This window comes from Homo sapiens, chromosome 1 (assembly GCF_000001405.40).
Source record: "Homo sapiens chromosome 1, GRCh38.p14 Primary Assembly".
NCBI lineage: Eukaryota > Metazoa > Chordata > Mammalia > Primates > Hominidae > Homo > Homo sapiens.
In genome coordinates this window covers 54,113,097-54,131,992 of record NC_000001.11, presented here as the reverse complement: position 1 = coordinate 54,131,992, position 18,896 = coordinate 54,113,097, and the positions used below count along the sequence as shown (strand labels likewise).

At 51.9% G+C, this 18,896-nt stretch overlaps 2 annotated features.

The window, feature by feature from the left end:
* Positions 10,457-10,526: an enhancer, noted in NCBI's record as "active region_1055". NCBI's record gives its function as "activates an Ori minimal core promoter by ATAC-STARR-seq in GM12878 lymphoblastoid cells {active_cell/tissue: GM12878}" and the evidence as "EXISTENCE:reporter gene assay evidence [ECO:0000049][PMID:35858748]".
* Positions 14,953-15,012: an enhancer, noted in NCBI's record as "active region_1054". NCBI's record gives its function as "activates an Ori minimal core promoter by ATAC-STARR-seq in GM12878 lymphoblastoid cells {active_cell/tissue: GM12878}" and the evidence as "EXISTENCE:reporter gene assay evidence [ECO:0000049][PMID:35858748]".

The window sequence follows — 18,896 nt, the reverse complement described above, 5'->3', positions numbered from 1 at the left end:
CCCCTGCCACATGGTGTCAGTGTTGAAGGCTGGACCTGCACATCTTGGCAGACGCTTGTCCGTGGAGGTGGCGATGCCCTGCTGGGTCACAGCCCCATATAAACCGCGGCAGGCCACACACTGTGCTCAGTCGTGAGATTGGAGCTGAAGGCTGGTGTCTCTCTTTCATGTTGGAGTTTTTCCTTAAATGTCTGTGATCCTTGACAAAAGCTGATTGAAGTCCCACACGTCTCTGTCCTTGCCCCTGATGCCAAGCTCAGATCACCAGCCCATCTTTGCCCTCCAGAGGAGTTCTCTTTGGAGCCCTCTGTACCCTCTCCTGCCTTTGGACTTCAGTCAGAGCTACTCCAGTCTACTCAGAGCTACTCCAGTCTACCCACATTTTCTAAGTTCATATCACAGGGAGCTGGGGTTGGGTTTCCTCATGAGAAGACCTCTGGGATTATTATACAAATTGATCCATCCTTCTCAGAGCTCTTCTTGACACCAAGAAGTGAAGCAATCTTATTAATGAAAAATAAACAAAAAAATGCATTTATAATACACCATTTTCCCCCTGCTCGTCTTTGTATTTGCGTAATGATCACTCCGGAGAGTCCTTTCACAATAGCAGAAATCTCCAGATTGACCATGCTGCCCACTGGCATCAAGTTAAAAAAACTATGGCCCAATTACAATTCACTCAACAACCCAACAAGCATCCACTGGATTCCAGATTTTGTGTCTGTTGCTGTGGCAGAGGCTCCAGGCACACAGCAGCACACACGCCAGATGAGATTCCTACCTGCAAGGCGTTTGGTGTGGGAGAGCAGAACTGCGGAGGGAGAGGGACAGATGCTTTGGTAACTTGGAAAAAAAATGACGAAGAGCCAACAAAGTAAGAAATGAATTAAGCAAGGGAAAAAGTTGCCTGGACATTAGGAATTAAAATGGGTTCAAGTCCAACTGGAAGAGTTAGAAATGGGTTTAAGCTCTTCTAGTGAATTAGGGACTTTTGTCAGGGTAGGTGTGCCGGCGGGAGAGTCTTGAATCTGCCCTAGGGTGTTGGGAGTAGAGCCCCCTTCTTCTTTCTCTCCTACCCACCTTCTCACTGTCAGTCTTGAGCCAGGTACCTTCAAGCAGTTACCTTCACCAGCCAGGTACCTTCATCTTCATGAGCCCATTTCCTTCTGTGGCTCAGTTTTCTTTTTTTTTCTTTTTTTTTCTTTTCTTTTCTTTTCTTTTCTTTTCTTTTCTTTTCCTTCCTTTCTTTCTTTCTTTCTTTTCTTTCTTTCTTTCTTTCTTTCTTTCTTTCTTTCTTTCTTTCTTTCTTCTTTCTTTCTTTTCTTTCTTTTTCTCCTTCCTTCCTTCCTTCTCTTTCTTTCTTGTTTTGACGGAGTCTCACTTTATTGCCAGGCTGGAGTACAGTGGCACAATCCCGACTCACTACTACAACCTCTGCCTCCCAGGTTCAAGCGATTCTCCTGTTTCAGCCTCCCGAGTAGCTGGGATTACAGGTGTACATCTGGCTAATTTTTGTATTTTTAGTAGAGATGAGTTTTCGCCATGTTGGCCAGCCTGATCTCGAACTCCTGGCCTCAAGTGATTCGCCTGCCTTGGCCTCCCAAAGTGCTGGGATTACAGGCGTGAGTCATCGTGCCTGTCCTTGGCCTCAGTTTTCTTATTGGCAAAATGTGACAAACATCATACCTTCAGCACCATCACTGTCCTAGCTACCACCTCCTAAGCACCGACTATGTGGCAGATGTTTAACATGGCTCCCCCAAGGTCACACAGCAAATCAATGGCAAGGCTGGGCCTAGAACTTGGGTTTCTAAGTCAGAGCTTTTAAGTGGACTCACAGGTCCATGGTAATAATCTCGTTTAAGACACTTTGCAAGTTAGCCCTAATTGCCCCCATTTTACAGATGGGGAAAGTGAGGCTCTGGAAGGGTAAGTGCTGTGCCCAAGGTCATATGGCTATGGAATGTTGAAACTTAGTTCTTCCCTGAACTGGGGGCATCGTGCAGCAGGCTGGAGCCTCTTGGGATCCCAGGCCAGTGCCCTCAAATGCAAGGGCTGTGTCTGGTTGGGAAAGGATTGAAATAGTAGAGAATGAGAGGATGGTTTTATCTTCACAGATGTGCCCAAATACTGACATTCCCAGCCCTCCAGGCAGCCAGCATGTTGATTATCTGTGTGAGCTGTGGAAAATGATAGTCTTTATGACAGCACAGTGTCTATTAGAAATGAAAGGGCTGAAATGATACCCATTAGCCAACATGCCCTGGCCCTGGAAGAGTGTCGGGCACGGCGGGCACGGCACAGCTTGCTTGCTCACCTACCAATTTTCTCTTTTCAGAGTGAGGGGCTGTGGAAAGAGCCAGGCTTGAACCCCAGCTCCCTCCCCATAGGCTGTGTGACCACGGGACATGCCAACCCTTGAATGGGAGCTTTGGATCCTGCTGCCGGCTTGTCCCAGCAAGGCTGATGTCACTGAGGAAAGGGTCCCTGGCAAATGGATGCATTGGTCTTGGGAAAACACTCTCCAGGCTGCAGGTCAGGCAGACTTGGGATCATTTCCAGTTCTTTCCCTGACTCTGTGTGACCTTGGGTAGGTTGCTTAACCTCTAAGTCTTGGTTTCCTCATGTGTAGGATGGGGGTAGAAACACCCTCCTCACCAGATTATCATGAGGATTAAGTGAGAGAACATAGAGAGAGCACCCAGCGCAGGGCTTCCCCTGGATGGATCAGGAAATGGTTGGCTGGTGGGCTCTGGCCTGGGTAAGGGCTTCCCTGAGGAGTCCTCATATCCCAGAGTTGGGAGAGGCCTAAAAAGAAAGCAAGTCCCCACCCCATCCCCTATCCCACCTCCCAGCTTCCCTGCTGTTTTCCAACAGACCAAGGCTGTTTCCACCCACAGTCCTCCACATGGAATGTCCTTCCACCACAGCGTCTCCTGACTCGGCCCCTTCATGTCCCTTTCTACTCACGTGACCCCCCGACCACTTACCTAAAATAGCATCCCCAGCCTGTCCCTGGTACCCCTTTGCTTTTCTTCATTTCCTTCCTAGCAGGCATCACTATCTGAAATGCCATTAGCTGTCTGCTTCTGCTTGTCTATGCTTGATTCCCCTCACTGCAAAGCCAGCTTCGTGAGGCTATCTTCATCTTGTTCACCCCTGCCACCCAATGAGTATCTGTGGTTGAATGAGTGAATGAATGGATGGATTCGACTTCATTCAAGTCATTCAGTCCTGTGTGTGGGATGCCTGTATTGTGGTGCAATCTAAGTCAAGGGCATTTCTCAGGTGCCTTCTCCGTGTCCTCCTGCACAGAGATGCAGACTGGCTCAGGCATGGCCTGCCCCCAGGAGCTCACTGTCTAATGGGAAGAGACATGCATGAAAGCAGCTGTAAGGCACACAGTGCTCAAAGAATCTGTCCATCTATTTGTCAGGGTGGTGGGAACAGGAGACAGTACATTGAAATTGGGAATTTGAAGAGCATTTAATAAAGAGATAACTGACAAAGGTGTGAGCAGGGGGCAGAGAAGCCACCGGGCATGGTGGCTCACACCTGTAATCCCAGCACTTTGAGAGGCCGAGGCAGGCAGATCACTTGAGGCCAGGAGTTCGAGACCAGCCTGGCCAACACAGCAAAACCCCGTCTCTACCAAAAATACAAAAATTAGCTGGATGTAGTAGTGCGCACCTGTAGTCTCAGCTGCTCCAGAGGTTGAAGCAGGGGACTTGCTTGAACCCAGGAGGTGGAGGTTGCAGTGAGCTGAGATCACGCCACTGCACTCCAGTCTGGTTGACAAGAGCAAGACTCTGTCTCAAAAAAAAAAAGGCGGGGGATAGAGAAGCCACAAGGGAGAGTGCAGAACCTGGGGCGAGTGACAGTGAGGAGCCCTTATCATCCTCAGGTCTGAAGGGTGAGGGGAAGAGATGTGTGCTTCCACGGAGGGGCACAGCCAACCACAGGACCTGGCTTCCTTCTCCTCCTGCCTCCAAGGCAGTGCATGCAGTCAGTGTGGGTTGGCCTCCCCAGGGCACAGAGCAGGGTGAAGAGGAACGGGTAGATCCAGAGGCGCACATGGAGACTTGCAGAGAAATAGACAAAGTGCTTTTGTGTCAAAGACTTTTGAGAACAAGACAGGGTTAAGATGAATGACTCAATTTGTATAAGGGAGGACTCACACCGCCAGGAGACTCATCCCTCAGGCACAGGGAGGAGGGGGAATGGCATCCCAGGCATAGGGAACAGCATGTGCAAATGCAAAGAGGCATGAAAGAGCCTGTCATGGCTGGGAGCCAGGAAGAGGGCTGTAGGGGGTGCTGGGAGGTGTATTGGGGCAATGTTAGAAAGACAGGCTGGGAAGTTATTTAAGGCACCAAGATGGCACTGGCTGCTTCTCTTGGAACCACTGTGGAAGCGGCCCCCTGTGTCCTTGGCTTCAGAACAAGGGCACCCACTGGACCAAGAGGGGCAAGCGAATATCCTTTTCTGTCATTGATGTCTTCTCCTGGGACAGAGCCTACCATGTAGAAAGGCTCTTGATCTATTAGAACCAGACACACTGTTGGAAAATGTCAGTTTGACACAGTGAGCTGAGCTCTGGATTCCAGTCTATCTCTGCCACCTTCCTCCTGAGTAACTTTGGTCTATAGACCGAGCAATTCCCCATGCCTCCTTTGGGACACCCTTCCCCAGCACCCGTCACGAGCCAGGACCCAGGCTGGGGTGTTCGGATCCAGGGAGGAATGAGGTACATGGTTTCAGGAGAGGGGGTTGGAGTTGTTCCTATCTTGGCCCTGCCACTCAGTGTCTGGAAGCTCAGTCATATTCCAAAACCTCTCTAAGCCTCAGTTTCCTCATCTGTAAATTAAGACTAATAGTAGGAACATTTATTGAGATTTACTCAATGCCAGGCATTTTTCTAGATTTGTTTGCATTTATTTGCTCATTTAATTCTCTAAACAGTAACTATTATTATTCCTTCTAAGAAATGGTAGTTTCATAACCAGCCTGGTCAATGTGGTGAAACCCCATCTCTACTAAAAATACAAAAATTAGCTGGGTGTGGTGGTGTACAACTGTAGTCCCAGCTACTTGGGAAGCTGAGGCAGGATAATTGCTTGAACCTGGGAGGTGGAGGTTGCAGTGAGCTGAGACTGTGCCGTTGCACTCCAGCTTAAGCAAAAAACGAGACTCTGTTTCAAAAAAAAAAAAAAAAAAAAAAGAAAAGAAAAAGAAAAAAAGAATTGATAGAAGCAAGATAGAAACCCAGAAACCCAGGCAGTATGTTGGCCCATACAGCTCAAACCTCAACCATTACAGTAGAGCATGTCAGGGAGGTCATGAGAAAACACGTCATAACCAACTCACATTTGCAGCTGTAACAAAATACATGCCAAGTATTCACACAGAGCACTGTGCACCTGATGTTGTTCTAAGAATCTATGCGCTTTGCCTAAGTTAGTTCATGTAGCCTTTGTAATAACAGTGTGAGGTGGGTACTGTTAGGAGCCCCATTTCACAGATGAGGAAACTGAGGCACAGAGAATTTGGGTAACTTGCTTGAGGTCACAGCTCATAGCTCCCATTAGGTGAAGGCTAATACCAAGAGCCAAGAACTGTTCTAGACACTTCATATGTATTAATTGCTTAGGCCTCAGTGCTGGTGGAAGCAAGGCATGGAGAGTAACCCATAGTAACCATAGCCAGGCCTCAAACTGGTGGTTTGATTTCAGAGTCCCCGCTTCTACACGTGAACTCTGACTCCTTTTCTGGATACAGCGATCAGTGCAGAGTACAGGCTCCCTAAGTATTGACCATTAAGACACAGCCCCCTTGGAGGCTGTAAAATGGGTTCTGGGCTCTGAGGCCCTAGAGAAGCCCCAACAAACTGCTGCCCCATGGCAGGTGCCTTGTCAGAGCTCAGAGCTGCCCCCAGTCAAGTCTTCCAGGAACTCATGACTGACTGGCCTGCCTGTTGTGCCCACGCAGGCACCAGAAACACAGTGAGCAAGCCAGGCCCTGCTGACCTGGACACTGAGCCTCAGTTCCTCCCAGGGCCACCTGATGTTCCCCTTCAAAGTCAACAAGGCCCTGGCTGGCCTCCTTCCTGGAAAATCAGCAGGGCTCACTGCCCTCTGCTGGCTTCTTCCAAGCCCATCCAGCCATGGGAGTTGGGCACCTTTGGGAAGTCAGCTCTGGCTTTCTGAGCACCCTGGCCCCAACTGGGCCTAGACCTCACAGCTACTCAGAGCCTCCCTGGCTGCCGCTCCGCAGAGCGCATTGCAAAGAGCCAAGGACGCCATCTCCCTTGGTCTAGCTGGAAGCAATGGAGATACAGTAGCAGTGGGTTCTGGTCACTGAGCCCCCCGGGCATGCACCCACTCTAACCCTCACGATTTCCCCACTTCACAGGTGAGAAAGCTGGGGCTCAGCAAGCTTAGGGGCTTAGGGAAGACTGCCTGCTGTCTTGTGAGGGAGTAAGTGATGGAGTGGAGACCTGAGCTCACTTCCTCCTGGAGGCTTCCTATGAAACCACATGCACTTCCCAGATGGCCCCACCAAGCGAAGGGCACTCCAGGGGTATTTATTCATGCCTTTGGGTGCCCTGCCCTGAACCCAGGAGCTGTAGGGTAGACAGTGGCAAATATAAGTGGTTTGGGGAGACCTGCCCATAAACCAACAGTGACTCAAAGCAAATGAGTATTGTGGCCAGAACAGAAGCCCCAATACGGCCTGGAAGAGGTGATGCCTGGGCAGGGTCCTGAGAGGTAACACCGAACAGGAGAAAGGGCAGGAAGGGTGCTTCAGACCGGGGGCTGGGGGAGGCAGGAGATTAGAGATTTGGGGAGCTTGAGGGGACTCTGAGTTCACCAGGTGGCTGGAGCACAGAGTGGAAAGGAGAGAGCGGAGGCAACGAAGCCAGAGAGGCAGGTGGGGACAGGGCCTGTCTGGGGAGGGACTTCCCACGCAGCAGGGTCAAGGCCTGGGAGACCTTGGATGGTCACACCAGCTCCTGGTCTCCACTTGACTCCCCCAGCCTCCCAGGGTAAAAGAGGCTTCCCAAATTATAAATCCTACGGACTGACTTTATAGCTGAAGCCCTCGAGAGAAGGTGATTGGCCTAAGGTTCCCCGGAAAAGCCAGACTTGCACCCAGGTCACCTGACTCCAAAGGACATCCTGTCCCTGCAGTGCAATCTCACTGCCCTTTCTCCTTCCAGGGGGTGAGTTTCTGCCTGATCACCGTGGGGGGTGATCAGGGCCCCCATCCCTCGGGATTCCCCTGGCAACTGTGTTGACTAGGCTCCGCCCACATCACCTGCGCGAGGGAGTTTCCCTGCCTTTGAAATCAAACACAAACAAACCCTAAACAGAAACAGCCCCACACCTGAGCTCCAGGTAAACGCAGCCGGAACCGGTGGGGTATACACAATTTTTGGCTCCCATCCAAGAGAGGAAAGGAAGCTGTTTGAATAACAACTCCCCTGTCCAGGTGCCCAGCAATTTACAATTTGCAAAGTGCTTTCCCCAGACATTCCGCCCTTTGATCCTCATATCTGTCCTGAGAAAGAGGTGTTGCCCATTTTGTAGAGGGGAAACTGAGGCCTAAGAGGTAAATTCAAATGCTGAAGGTGACACAGTAAGTTGATGATAGATCTAGGGTTGGAAACAAGTAGCTCCCGGAGACTGTAGGTGTGGGTCGTCTCTGATCCGTGTGGTGGTCAAAGCCAAGAGCCATTTAGTCTGAGTGGGAGGGAGGAAGTACTGTTGAGGCTGAATCTTTTAAAGATGTGCAGCAGTGACCAGGCAGAATGCAGGGGAAGGCATTCTGGGCAGAGGACAGAGCACAAGCAAAGGCCTGGAAGTAGGAAGGCAGGTGGTCAGTTCAGGAACAATGAAGGCTCCAGCGGAACTGGTGCACAGCGAGCGTGGGGATCTGAGAGACGGCGCCCCTCCTCTTCCAGGGGCCTCTTCCCCGTTCCTGCCTCCTGGCTCCTCTTTCATCATCTGCTCTGCTTTGCCATCAGCGTTCAGATCTGTCTCCCCTGTCATCCTGGATGCTCCTGGAGGTCAAGAACCCCGTCTGATTCATTTCTGTGTCCTCAGTCTCCAGCACAGGACCAGCCAGGCACAGAGAGGGACTCATCGAATGAATGAAAATGAATGAAGGAATATGTAGTGCAGCTGCATACACAAAATAGCTATTAACACTTTTTTGAACACCAACCGTGTGCCACCAGGCATTCAGCTAACTGCTTTTACTAGTATCATCGCTTTCATCCCTGTGAGATCTGTGCTATTATTCAGTTATTATTATCATAATCATCTCCATCTTTTTTTTTAATTGAGATGAAATCTTGCTCTGTTGCCCAGGCTGGAGTGCAGTGGCTCAATCTCAGCTCACTGCAACCTCCACCTCCCAGATTCAAGCGATTCTCCTGCCTCAGCCTCCCAAGTAGCTGGGATTATAGGTGCACGCCACCAGGCCCAGCTAATTTTTGTACTTTATTAGAGATAGGGTTTCACCATGTTGGCCAGGCTGGTCTCAAACTCCTGACCTCAAGTGATCCACCCGCCTTGGCCTCCCAAAGTGCTGGGATTACAGGCGTGAGCCACTGCACTCGGCCATCATCTATCTCCATTTTATAAATGGGGAAATAGAGGCACATTGAGGTAAAGAGCTTGGACAAAGTCACAAGGCCCACAAATGTCGCTGGGATTTCAACCCAAACCACCAGGCTCCCCTGGTGTACACTCTCGGCCACGTGGAGAGATACCCTCTTGCACATGCTTCCACACAGACCCAGATATACACGGAAGCAGGAATGCCCAGGCCACAGCCCACGCTCCTGGACACCCACTCCTCCTCTGATTTGGCCACACCTTGGCAGAGTGAAGGAGCTCACAGGGCTGGGTGCCAGGCCAAAGGCTGGGTGGGGTTGGAAGGAGTCAGGTGGGCTCTGAGACTGGCTCACCCTTTTCTTCTCTGCGGATGCAGATCTCATCATTTGATAATCTCAGCTCTATCAGGGCTGTGGAAATCCTTTCTTTTCCCCAGGTTCCCCCTGCACACACTCCCCTGCCACAAAATAATAATTCCCTGTGTCCTAGAGGAAGCAAAGAGCTCCCGTCTGCCGCTGGCATACCAGGGCCTTCATCAGGCTCCTTAGAGACAGAATTCCCTCAGCGAGGTTCATCCTGGTGCCCAAGGTCACCCAGAGGGTCTGCAGAGGAGAGGGATTTCTGACTTAGGTGTGCCAGACCCGCCAGCCCAGTGCATCTCTCACTGCCCAAGTCTCTCACCAGGATACCCCAAGCCCTCTTTAAGGTCTGATAGAAGAAAATTCAGCCCCAGGGAGCAGGGGAGGGATTAGAGAGGAGAGGACCTTGCCTGTGGTCCCACAGCCAGGATAGAGGGAGCTGGAACCAGGGCCAGGGGTGCCAGTGGGATGCAAGAGCATATTCCCAGCCAGAACTGAACTTGGGGAAATCCTGCCTGGGCTTTGGCCCCCTGTCCCCAGTTTAGTTTCAAGGCAGAAAGAGATGCTGGGAGGGGGGACCCCGCTGGTGTCAGATGTCCAGACCGGACCTGCAGCTCCGAGCAGCCCGAGCTCAAGTTTGTGAGCCGCGTGTCCGTGTGTCCCCTGCTGGCATTCCCGGGCGTTCCCTCCTATGTGGCTGGGGCACAGGTGTGAGGGGGCGGGTGTGCCTGGGTGTGTTTGCATATGTGCCTGTGGATCTAATGTTACCCCCCACACCTCACGCGAGACTGTCTCCCCCAGTGCCTCATTTGATGCCCACTGCAGAGCTGTGAGGGGCACGGCAGGGGTAGTGGGAAGGGAGAGTTCAAGGGGAAGGTGGAGCCTCAGCAAAGCGGGGCGCCTGACAGCCCAAGGTGGGGGTGCGCGTGTGTGGTTGTGTGTGGGGTGTTCCTGTGTGTGTTCATGTGCGTGTATGCCCGTGTGTGTGGACGCGCGTGCACTGTCTCTAGAGGGGACTGGAACTGACGCTCCCTCGGGTCCCTCCTGGCTCTGCCTATGCTCCTGCCGTGCTGTGAGTGTCGGGGGATCTGGGGTCTGGGTGGGCGGGAGAGTGCGTGTGAGTACGACTATGCCTGGAGAAAGAGGCGGCCTGTGCGTGCTGCCTGCGCGTCCCTGAACCCCCGAGTCTGGGAAGGGCTCAGAGGTGGCTCCGCTCCGGGTCCCCCTGCCTCTCTGGCAGAGGCCGGGGCTAGCGTTGGACACAGCGCCATCTTGTGGGACCACAAGGAGGGCTCCGTGGCACCACCGGGAGCTGCCGGCCACCCTGGAGAGAAAGAGTGATGAGGAAGAGAGCCTGGGAGACCTGGGAGGCCAAACCACCCACACACCCACAGACGCCACAGCCGAGTGGCGCCGGTTTCCAGGCCGGGAAAAGATCCAAGGTGCTTCCTGCGGCTTTCCTCCTCCATCCCAAAGCAGCCCCTAGTCCCTCCTGTGACCGTTGACTAGGGGAGACAGACAGCAAACAAACCTTAAGGCTGAGATAAGCGAGGCGTAATCCATTGTTCCGGTTTACCCCAGTTTGCCTGGGACTCGGGGATTCCCGGGACGTGGGACTCTCAGTTTTAAAGGAGAAAAGTCCTGGGCGAACAGGGGCTGGTCAGTCCCCCTAGACGAGCAAGTGTGGCAAAGTGGGGACGACGGGAGCCTTGCCTGGTCTGGGGTCAGAGAGGGCCCGGCCCCTCATCCCAGCAGGGGTTTTGCTGCTGCAGACTCCCCGCACAATCCCTGCCTCCCTGTAGGCTTTGTTACCATCTCCATGGTATTTGGTGACTCCTGATCTGGTTCTCCACCGAAATTTCCCATGCTGCAGTCGCCCTCCCACCCACCCGCAGCCACGCCCTGTGCCTCACACGGAATCATTGGCGCTCCCTGAGCCTCTCCTGTCGTTTGGATGAGCGGCCTCTCCACACCCAGACTTCTGCGCTGGCCTCGGATTTCTCCCTCTCCCAGGTCTCTCATCCAGCTCTGTCCGCCCACGTACCACCATCTCTCCAGTCCACTCCTTTCTCTCTCGCCCCACTGCCACCACCAGACCACCCAGCTCCCGCCTCCAGCCATGCCCCAATTTCGTCCAGACCACGACCAAGCCACGGAGTGTGGTGCACTAAGGGTGAGGGAGGATGTCAGCTTGCACGTGGTTCCAGGTTCTAGGTCCAAGAATTCTTGCTCTGGCACCTGAGCACACCCTTTCCACCTACCCCGCGTTGCAGGGACTGCGAGGGTGCCATCTGCCTCCCTCAGGGGCTTTTTCTGAACAGTTGGCCATGGCCACTCCCGCCTCTCTACTCCATTCCCACACCCCAGCAGAGGGACCTTTCTGCTCAGGCCAGCCACGGCCCCCCATTGCCTGCAGGGTGAAGCGCTCCAGCCTGGCTCACAGGCTCTGCGCGGCCTGGCCCCTTCACTCTTGCAGTGACGCCCCCAGCCACTGCTCTGCCTGCACCCGCCCTGCTGCTGTGCTCTGTGGAGAATGATGATGATGTGTGGTGGTGTGTCGTGATTGTGTGTTTGTGTGATGGTTGTGATGATGCGTGTGGTGACTGTGTGTGGTGGTTGTGATGATGGTGATTGCGTGTGTGGTGGTTGTGATGGTGTGTGTATCGTGGCTGTGGTGGTTGTGATGGTGTGTGTGATTGTGTGGTGGTTGTGATTGTGTGTGGTGGCTGTGATGGTGTGTGTGATTGTGTGTGGTGGTTGTGATTGTGTGTGTCGTGGCTGTGATGGTATGCGTGGTGATTGTGTGTGTGATGGTATGTGTGTGATTGTGTGTGTGTGATGGTATGTGTGTGATTGTGTGTGGTGGTTGTGATGGTGTGTGTCATGGTCATGATTGTGTGTGTGGTGGTTGTGATGGTGTATGTGTGGTGGCAGTGGTGGCTGTGATGGTGTGTGTGGTGATTGTGTATGTGGTGGTTGTGATGGTGTGTGGTGGTTGTGATGATGTGCATGTGTGGTGGCTGTGGTGGTGTGTGTGGTGCTTGTGATTGTGTGTGTGCGTGGTGGCTGTGATGGTGTGTGTGGTAATTGTGCGTGTGGTGGTTGTGATTGTGTGTGTGATGGCTGTGATGGTGTGTGTGGTGGTTGTGATTGTGTGTGTGCGTGGTGGCTGTGATGGTGTGTGTGGTGATTGTGTGTGTGGTGGTTGTGATTGTGTGTGTGTGGTGGCTGTGATGGTGTGTGTTTTTGAAGTTCATCAGCATTGTAACATGTATCAGGACTTCATTACTCTTTCTGGATGAATAATATTCCGTTGTGTGGGTGAGCACTACGAATTGTCCACCCATTCCTCCAACTGATGGACATTTGGGCTGTTCGGGCTTACTTTTGACCTCTCTAGCTATGTCCATACAATGGCTTGGAGGGCACAAGACTGGATGTGGAAGATGGGCTGGAGAGTGTCTCAGTGACGTGAGCCTAGGTCAGTGGCCGTGGCAAGGACAATGCCACTGATTTAGAAGGAAGGTGGGCTGGGTGCAATATCTTGAGCCTGTATTCTTAGCAACTCAGGAGGCTGAGGCAGGAGGATAGCTTGAGGCCAAGAGTTCAAGGCTGCAATGAGCCATGATCATGCCACTGCACACCAGCCTGGGTGACAGAGCAAGACAGTGTCTCTAAAAATAAAATGAAATTTAAAAGAGAAAGCAGATGGTTGGAATGTGGGGCTGGAGGGAGGAGTGAAAAATGTCTCCCAAGTTTATGGCTTGTGAGTTGTGTGAATGGTGGCTCCGCCCTTGGTATAGGGGAAGGGGGGAAATTTAAGGAGCAGAACTCGTTTGGTTTGGACCTTGCAAGTCTGAGTTGCCTGTGGACCATGCAGGTGGAATTGTCCCCCAAGTAGTTAGAGGTGTGGATGTGGAGCTTGGGGGAAAGTCGGGGCAGAAGCTAGGCTCTGACAGTCATCAGCGTGTAGCTGAGATGATCAGGAGAGGGTGTGTGTTGCGGGGAGAGGAGGGGCATTAGAGCAGGACCTCCGAGGATCCCCTTGTCCTTGCACTCTGGAAGGCAGATCCTGATCCTCTTGCTCATCACTGAGTCACTAGACTCAAGCCCAGTGACCGACACAGAAAAATAGCTACTTAAATAATAGCTGGATGAATGGAGAGGAGCCCACAACAGCCTGAGATCTAGGAGGGTAGTGGTGATGTGGCAGCCGCCAGTCTGGGAAGGGACCCACAGCCTTGATTCATAATTAGGAATGAGGACAGCACTGTGACCCGGGCAAGTGAAGATAGGGCCGAGGAGGAGTTGAGGAGAGGAGCTAAGAGAGTGAGAGTCGTGGCTCCCTGGAGAAGTGTGGCCTTTCTCAAGCAGGAGAGAGGCGAGGAGGAGCTGGAGCACCGGTGAGGGTGGAGGGGGCTGATTTAGTGGATGGTGACCCTGGTTTCTGTCTGTTTGGTTTTGTTTGTTGAGGATGGAAAGGCTTTAAGTGCATTTAAATACTGACGGGAAAAGCTAAGGAAGGGGGCGAGAGGTGGACATTGAAGTAGAGCAAGGCCTGTTACAGAGTGGGAGGCAGGGGCTGGAGCACAAGGGGAGGGGCGGGCAGTGACAGGACAGCACAGCCTCTGAGAACACGACAGTGCAGCTCGTGTTCCTGCAGGGGGAGGGGGAGGGAGCTGCTATGAGATGCTTATATTGTTTGTGGCATGGGCGGCAAGGCCATCTGTGAGTATAGGAGGTGAGGGTGCAGTTGGAGGGCTTAGGCAAGGGAAGAGCCCCTTAACTGCTCCTGAGAGGCCCAGGAATGGGTGAGCCAACCAGAGTCAGTGGAAGAAGTAAGTGCGGTTGGAGGCTAGGAGTGTGTGATGGTACCAACCCGCTGCCCAAGGAATATTTCTGCAGGTGTCTCGGTGATTCCTTGAGTCACCGTGGCTGACTCACACTTCTGCATCCCCAGTGCCCAGCCTAGACCTAGCACAGACCAGGAAGCATGATGCCCAGTGAGCATGGAGTCAGATTTGCAGAATGGTGCAAAGACATGGTAATCCCAAGAGCCCTTGCAGGAGAGCTTGGAGAGGAGAGAGTGAGCCAAAAGGCCTCCTCTGGGCAGCTGGGCGGTGGTCAGGAGGCCCAGATCTGGCTGAGTGACCTTGGCTAAGTCCTCTCCCCTCTCAGGCATTTCAACTGCCACTGTTGGAGGATCTGTAGGGACTCTACTGCATTCTTCACTAGCTGCATTCCACCCCTCCACCGCCCACCCCACCCCCAGACCTCACCCCAAACCTACCCAACCCTGCCCTTACTTGATGCTGTGACCAAGGCTCTCTGCAGAAGAAAGAGCTTTGTTTGACCTTGGGAAACTCTGCTAGACGCCCCCGTTTTTCAGTGGCCCTGGGAAGTAGGTGTATGCAGAAGGGATAACTAGAAGCTCCCAGCTGCTCTGCCAGAGTTTCTAGGACTTCAAAATTAGTTTTCTTTTCCTCTCCCCAAGCTGAGATTTGTAATAAGCCCCAGGCACATCAGATGGGAGTGGGAAAGGAAGGCATCTGGGAAGAGCTGAGAGACACTGAGTGCTCCTAGTGAGCACCGAAGCCCAGGTTGGGCCCTGTGTGCAGGTGGTTCAAAGGACGCCTGGGAGAAAGAAGACTTAGGTTCCAGTTCCAGCTTTGCCTTTAGCTCACTGTCTGACCTTGGCCTCAAACCTGAGCATGCCCAGGGTCAGAACTCCCTGAGGACTTTGTTAAAGGGGGGTTGTCGATTGCTGGTCCCAGCCCCAGCGTTTCTGATTTAATAGGTCTAAAGTGGGGCCCAAGAATTTTCATTTTCTAACAAGTGCCCAGGTGATGGAAGGCTGCAGGTGGAGGGAATCCACATTGAGAATCACTGGCCTAGTCACTTTCCTTCTGAGTCTGAAGGGAAGTTCCCCTCTCAACAGGTAGAATCACACTGGCTCCTCCTACCTCTCCCCAAGGGGTGCTGTGAGGCTCAAACCAAAAAGCCAGATGAATTCAGGAACTCCTGAGAGTTGGTTGGGACCTCAAGATCCATCTGCTTTGAACTCCCCATTTGACAGGAGAGGAAACTGAGGACCAGAGATGGCGCAGAATAAGGTCACAGTCCAATTAGAAGATGGCAGCTGGAACTAGGCCCCAGGTAGCCTTCCTCCTGTGCTCCCCTAGCCTGAAAGAGATTTCAGTGTCTTGTCTTTCAGAGGAAGTGACCCTACATGGCATTTGTAGCAGATACTGAAAGTGTCCTGCCTGTGTTCCTTGATGCTCACCATTTCTGTGCATGTCGACCTGACAGCCTCTAAGGGCCAGCCCTTGTGACTCTGCCTGAGGACTTTCTCTGGCCTCGGAGCCCACCGGGCCTGGCCTGCATGCATGCAGGAAAGTTGTCAGCGAGCTAATATCCGTTCTCCTGCAGCAAATCCCAGACAATTCTTGGTGGATAGATACCCCACCTCCCTTGCCCCTTGATAGGGATAACTGTAAGGCTTGTTGTACCCTATTATCCAGGAATCCTCAGTGGAATTGAGCCCTGGCTGGTTACAGGGAAAATCAGCTTGATAACACACCCTTTGTTGGCTTCTTTTCCTCCCTGTTTCACGTTCCAACACCTCTTTAGGTGTTCCAACACCTCCTCTGACTCACCTCTCAAATAAACCACTTGTCTCAAATCAATGTTTTAGAGTCTATTTCTGGAGAAACTCAGCCTCAGACAGAATAATAATAATGGTAACAGTGGTTCATTCAGTGAACACCTACTATGTGCCAGGCATTGTGTATCTATGACCTCATTCGATCTTCAAGACGACTGTTCCAAGTGGGTATTATCACCTGCATGTCACTGTTGAGATTGTTCAGGTTCAGAGAGGAGAGGTGGCCTGACCAAGGACTCTCAACTGATAAGTTGTAATCCACAAGGCGGGGAGGCAGGTAAGTCAGACTCCACTCTGCACTTTGTAGGACTGGGAGTTAAGGAACCTGGGTTCCCTCTTTGGGGGCTCAGGCCTAGCCCCTGCTGCCCCTGGGCAGTCATGACCAGAGAGAAGGCAGTATGGGGCACCAGGATAAGGAATCTTTGCCCCTGACACTGTCCTCATTGCAGGCACCATTAACAGCAGCAGCAATGGGACTCCTTCCAAAGGCCTCACTAACTGAGGATATTGATGAGGAAGGAGCCAGAGTTGGAGAGGAAGGACCGGCAAATACGGTGACCACAATTGACAGGCTACCTTGTGGCTATTCTTGGGGACTCCCAGGAATAACTAGGGGAGCTTCTGAGAAGGATAAGTTTCTGCTTATGTAGAAGTGGAGCTCAGGGTCATCGACTCTTTTGGCAAAAATGGGACTCCATTTTGTAACCACCAGCCAGTGAAGCCAGGCAATGTTTAAGTTTCATCTAATACATTTCTAATGTGCTTGTGGGGACAGAATAGGGTCTTTGTTTATGGAAGTGCAATATTTTGCTTTTGGTTTAAGTTTCAAAGCATGTTTCCATAGTAAATATTTTTGTTACATAAAAAGAAAACGATTTGAGTAATAATGAAGTCATATACTCACGTATAGTAAAATAAGCTCCCTTAATGGCACTCAGGGGCCCAGGTTAGACTTCATGCTGGGCCCATTTTCACTGGTGGGAGCTTTGAATGTGTCTTCCTGTGTCTAGCCTCAGTTTCCTTGTGTGTGACAAGCGAGGCAGCTAAATGGTCCCCATGCCCTCGGAGGTCCCATGTTTGACAGGGCCTGTGGCTCTCCCTCGGGGCCACTTGGCAAATCTAAGCAGGTTCCTGCCCCAGTCTAGCCTAGAAGCAGATCTGTAATTGAGCCTGCAGGGTCACCGTGACAGGCACAGCCCGTAAATCTCAGCTGAGGGAGCAGCCCAGGGAGATAAATTGTGCTGCAGCTGAGTCTTCCCTTGCACTCTGGGAACAGCCTGACTCTGGGGTTAACATGGAGAGAAGGGGAGCTCACAAAACTATTCCCCATGGATGAGACACGCAGTGGGGTGGGGACATGAGGACCCAGTCCATGTCTGGTGAGGAAGAAGTGGTTGCAGAATGCTGTTTGCTCTTTAGAGCTCATGACGCAGATGGGGGATGATTTAAACAAAACAGTGGCTTGGTCAGAATAAATGCATTATCATGGGATATTTACCTGCCTCTCTTCTCCCCTGGGGACTGAAGCCAGAGACTGCATCTGGGTCAGCTAGGCATGCCCAGCACAGGGACGGGTAGATGGTAGGCATCACCAAATACAAATAATAGAAAATAATAAGAGGTAGCATATATTGAGTGCTTATGCTGTGCCAGGCCCTGTGCTCACTGTTCTATATGTATTATTTATTCTTTGCAACAATCCCAGGAGGGACCTTCATAACACAACTGAGAAAACATGCCCACAGCACAGAGATGTTGACGAACTTATCCAGGATCACTCAGCTAATAAGTGGCTGAGCCAGGCCTTCAACCCAAGCAGTTTTAGCTCCAAAGCCTAGGGTCTGATCCACTCTGCGAAATGATCAGTACAGTAATGATGGCAACAAGGAAAGCTCATTCTGTCAGGTACCTGGCAAGGGAGCATAGGAGGGATTAATCAAGGATGGGCAGGAGACCACAGGCAGCCTGGCAGAGGGAACATCAGGTGCAAAGACAAGGGGTTAAGAAGTCATTGCACATTTGGGGAATGATGACACAGTTGGAAAGGTAGAGGTGTAGAAAGGGCACTGAGAGATTAATCTGGGGAGGGAGGTGAGGGCCAGATCACTGCAAGCCTCAAGAGCCAAGCTCAGTGGCATGACTTCTAGCCAGTGGGCCAGGGCAGCCACTGCAGGTGTTAAGCAGGGCAGTGATACGGCCAGGTGTGAGGACCACACCACCTCTCACCAGCTCTGTGACCTTGGGCAAGTCACTTCTTTTGGAGCCTCGGTTTCCTGATCTGTCAACTGGGAGTGATTATCACATGCACGTCTCTGTTGAGATTGCTCAGGTCGAGAGAGGAGAGGACTAGGAGTCAAAGAACCTGAGTTCCCTCTTTGGGGGCCCAGCCTCAGCCCCTGCTGCCCCTGGGCAGTCATGACCAGAGAGAAGGCAATGTGGGACATCAGGATAAGGCATCTTTGGAACCTCCTGCCTCATAGGGCTTGGACAAGGACTAATGAAACAGGATGAAAAGGATTTTGTAAACTGTAAACGATTTTACAAATGCAGGTTGGTGGGTGGAATGGAAGGAAGTGAGCAGATAGCAGGTGTGAGGTAAGCCAGCCTATTTCACATAGAGGCTACTAGGTTTATTCCAACTTTCCTTTATTGTTATTAAAATTTTACATTTGCAGCTGGGCACGGTGGCTCACACCTGTAATCCCAGCACTTTGGGAGATTGAGGTGGGTGGATCAGGAGGTCAGGAGTTCAAGACCAGCCTGGCCAAGATGGTGATAACCTGTCTCTTCTAAAAACACAAAAATTAGCTGGGTGTGGTGGCAGGTGCCTGTAATCCCAGCTACTCGGGAGGCTGAGGCAGAGAATTGCTTGAACTCAGGAGGCAGAGGTTGCAGTGAGCCAAGATCACGCCACTGCACTCCAGCCTGGGTGACACAGCGAGACTCCGTCTCAAAAAAAAAAAAAAAAATTACATTACATTTGCATGGAGTTTTGCTAATTACCATCATTTGGGTTTCATTACCTCACTTGAGGATCTCTAAACCTTTTGATTAGATAGAATGATTCCCATTTCCCAAGTGAAGACATTGAGGCTTGGAGAGGGACAGGACTGCCCCAGCCATGCAGAGGGCAGAGCTGAGGCCTAGCCCGGGTGTTAGAGCTGCAGAGCTGTGCACTGCCTCCTCTGCTTCCCATGACCTTCTTTATACTGAGCAGCTTGTCTGAGCTGACGCCTGCGAATGACCAGC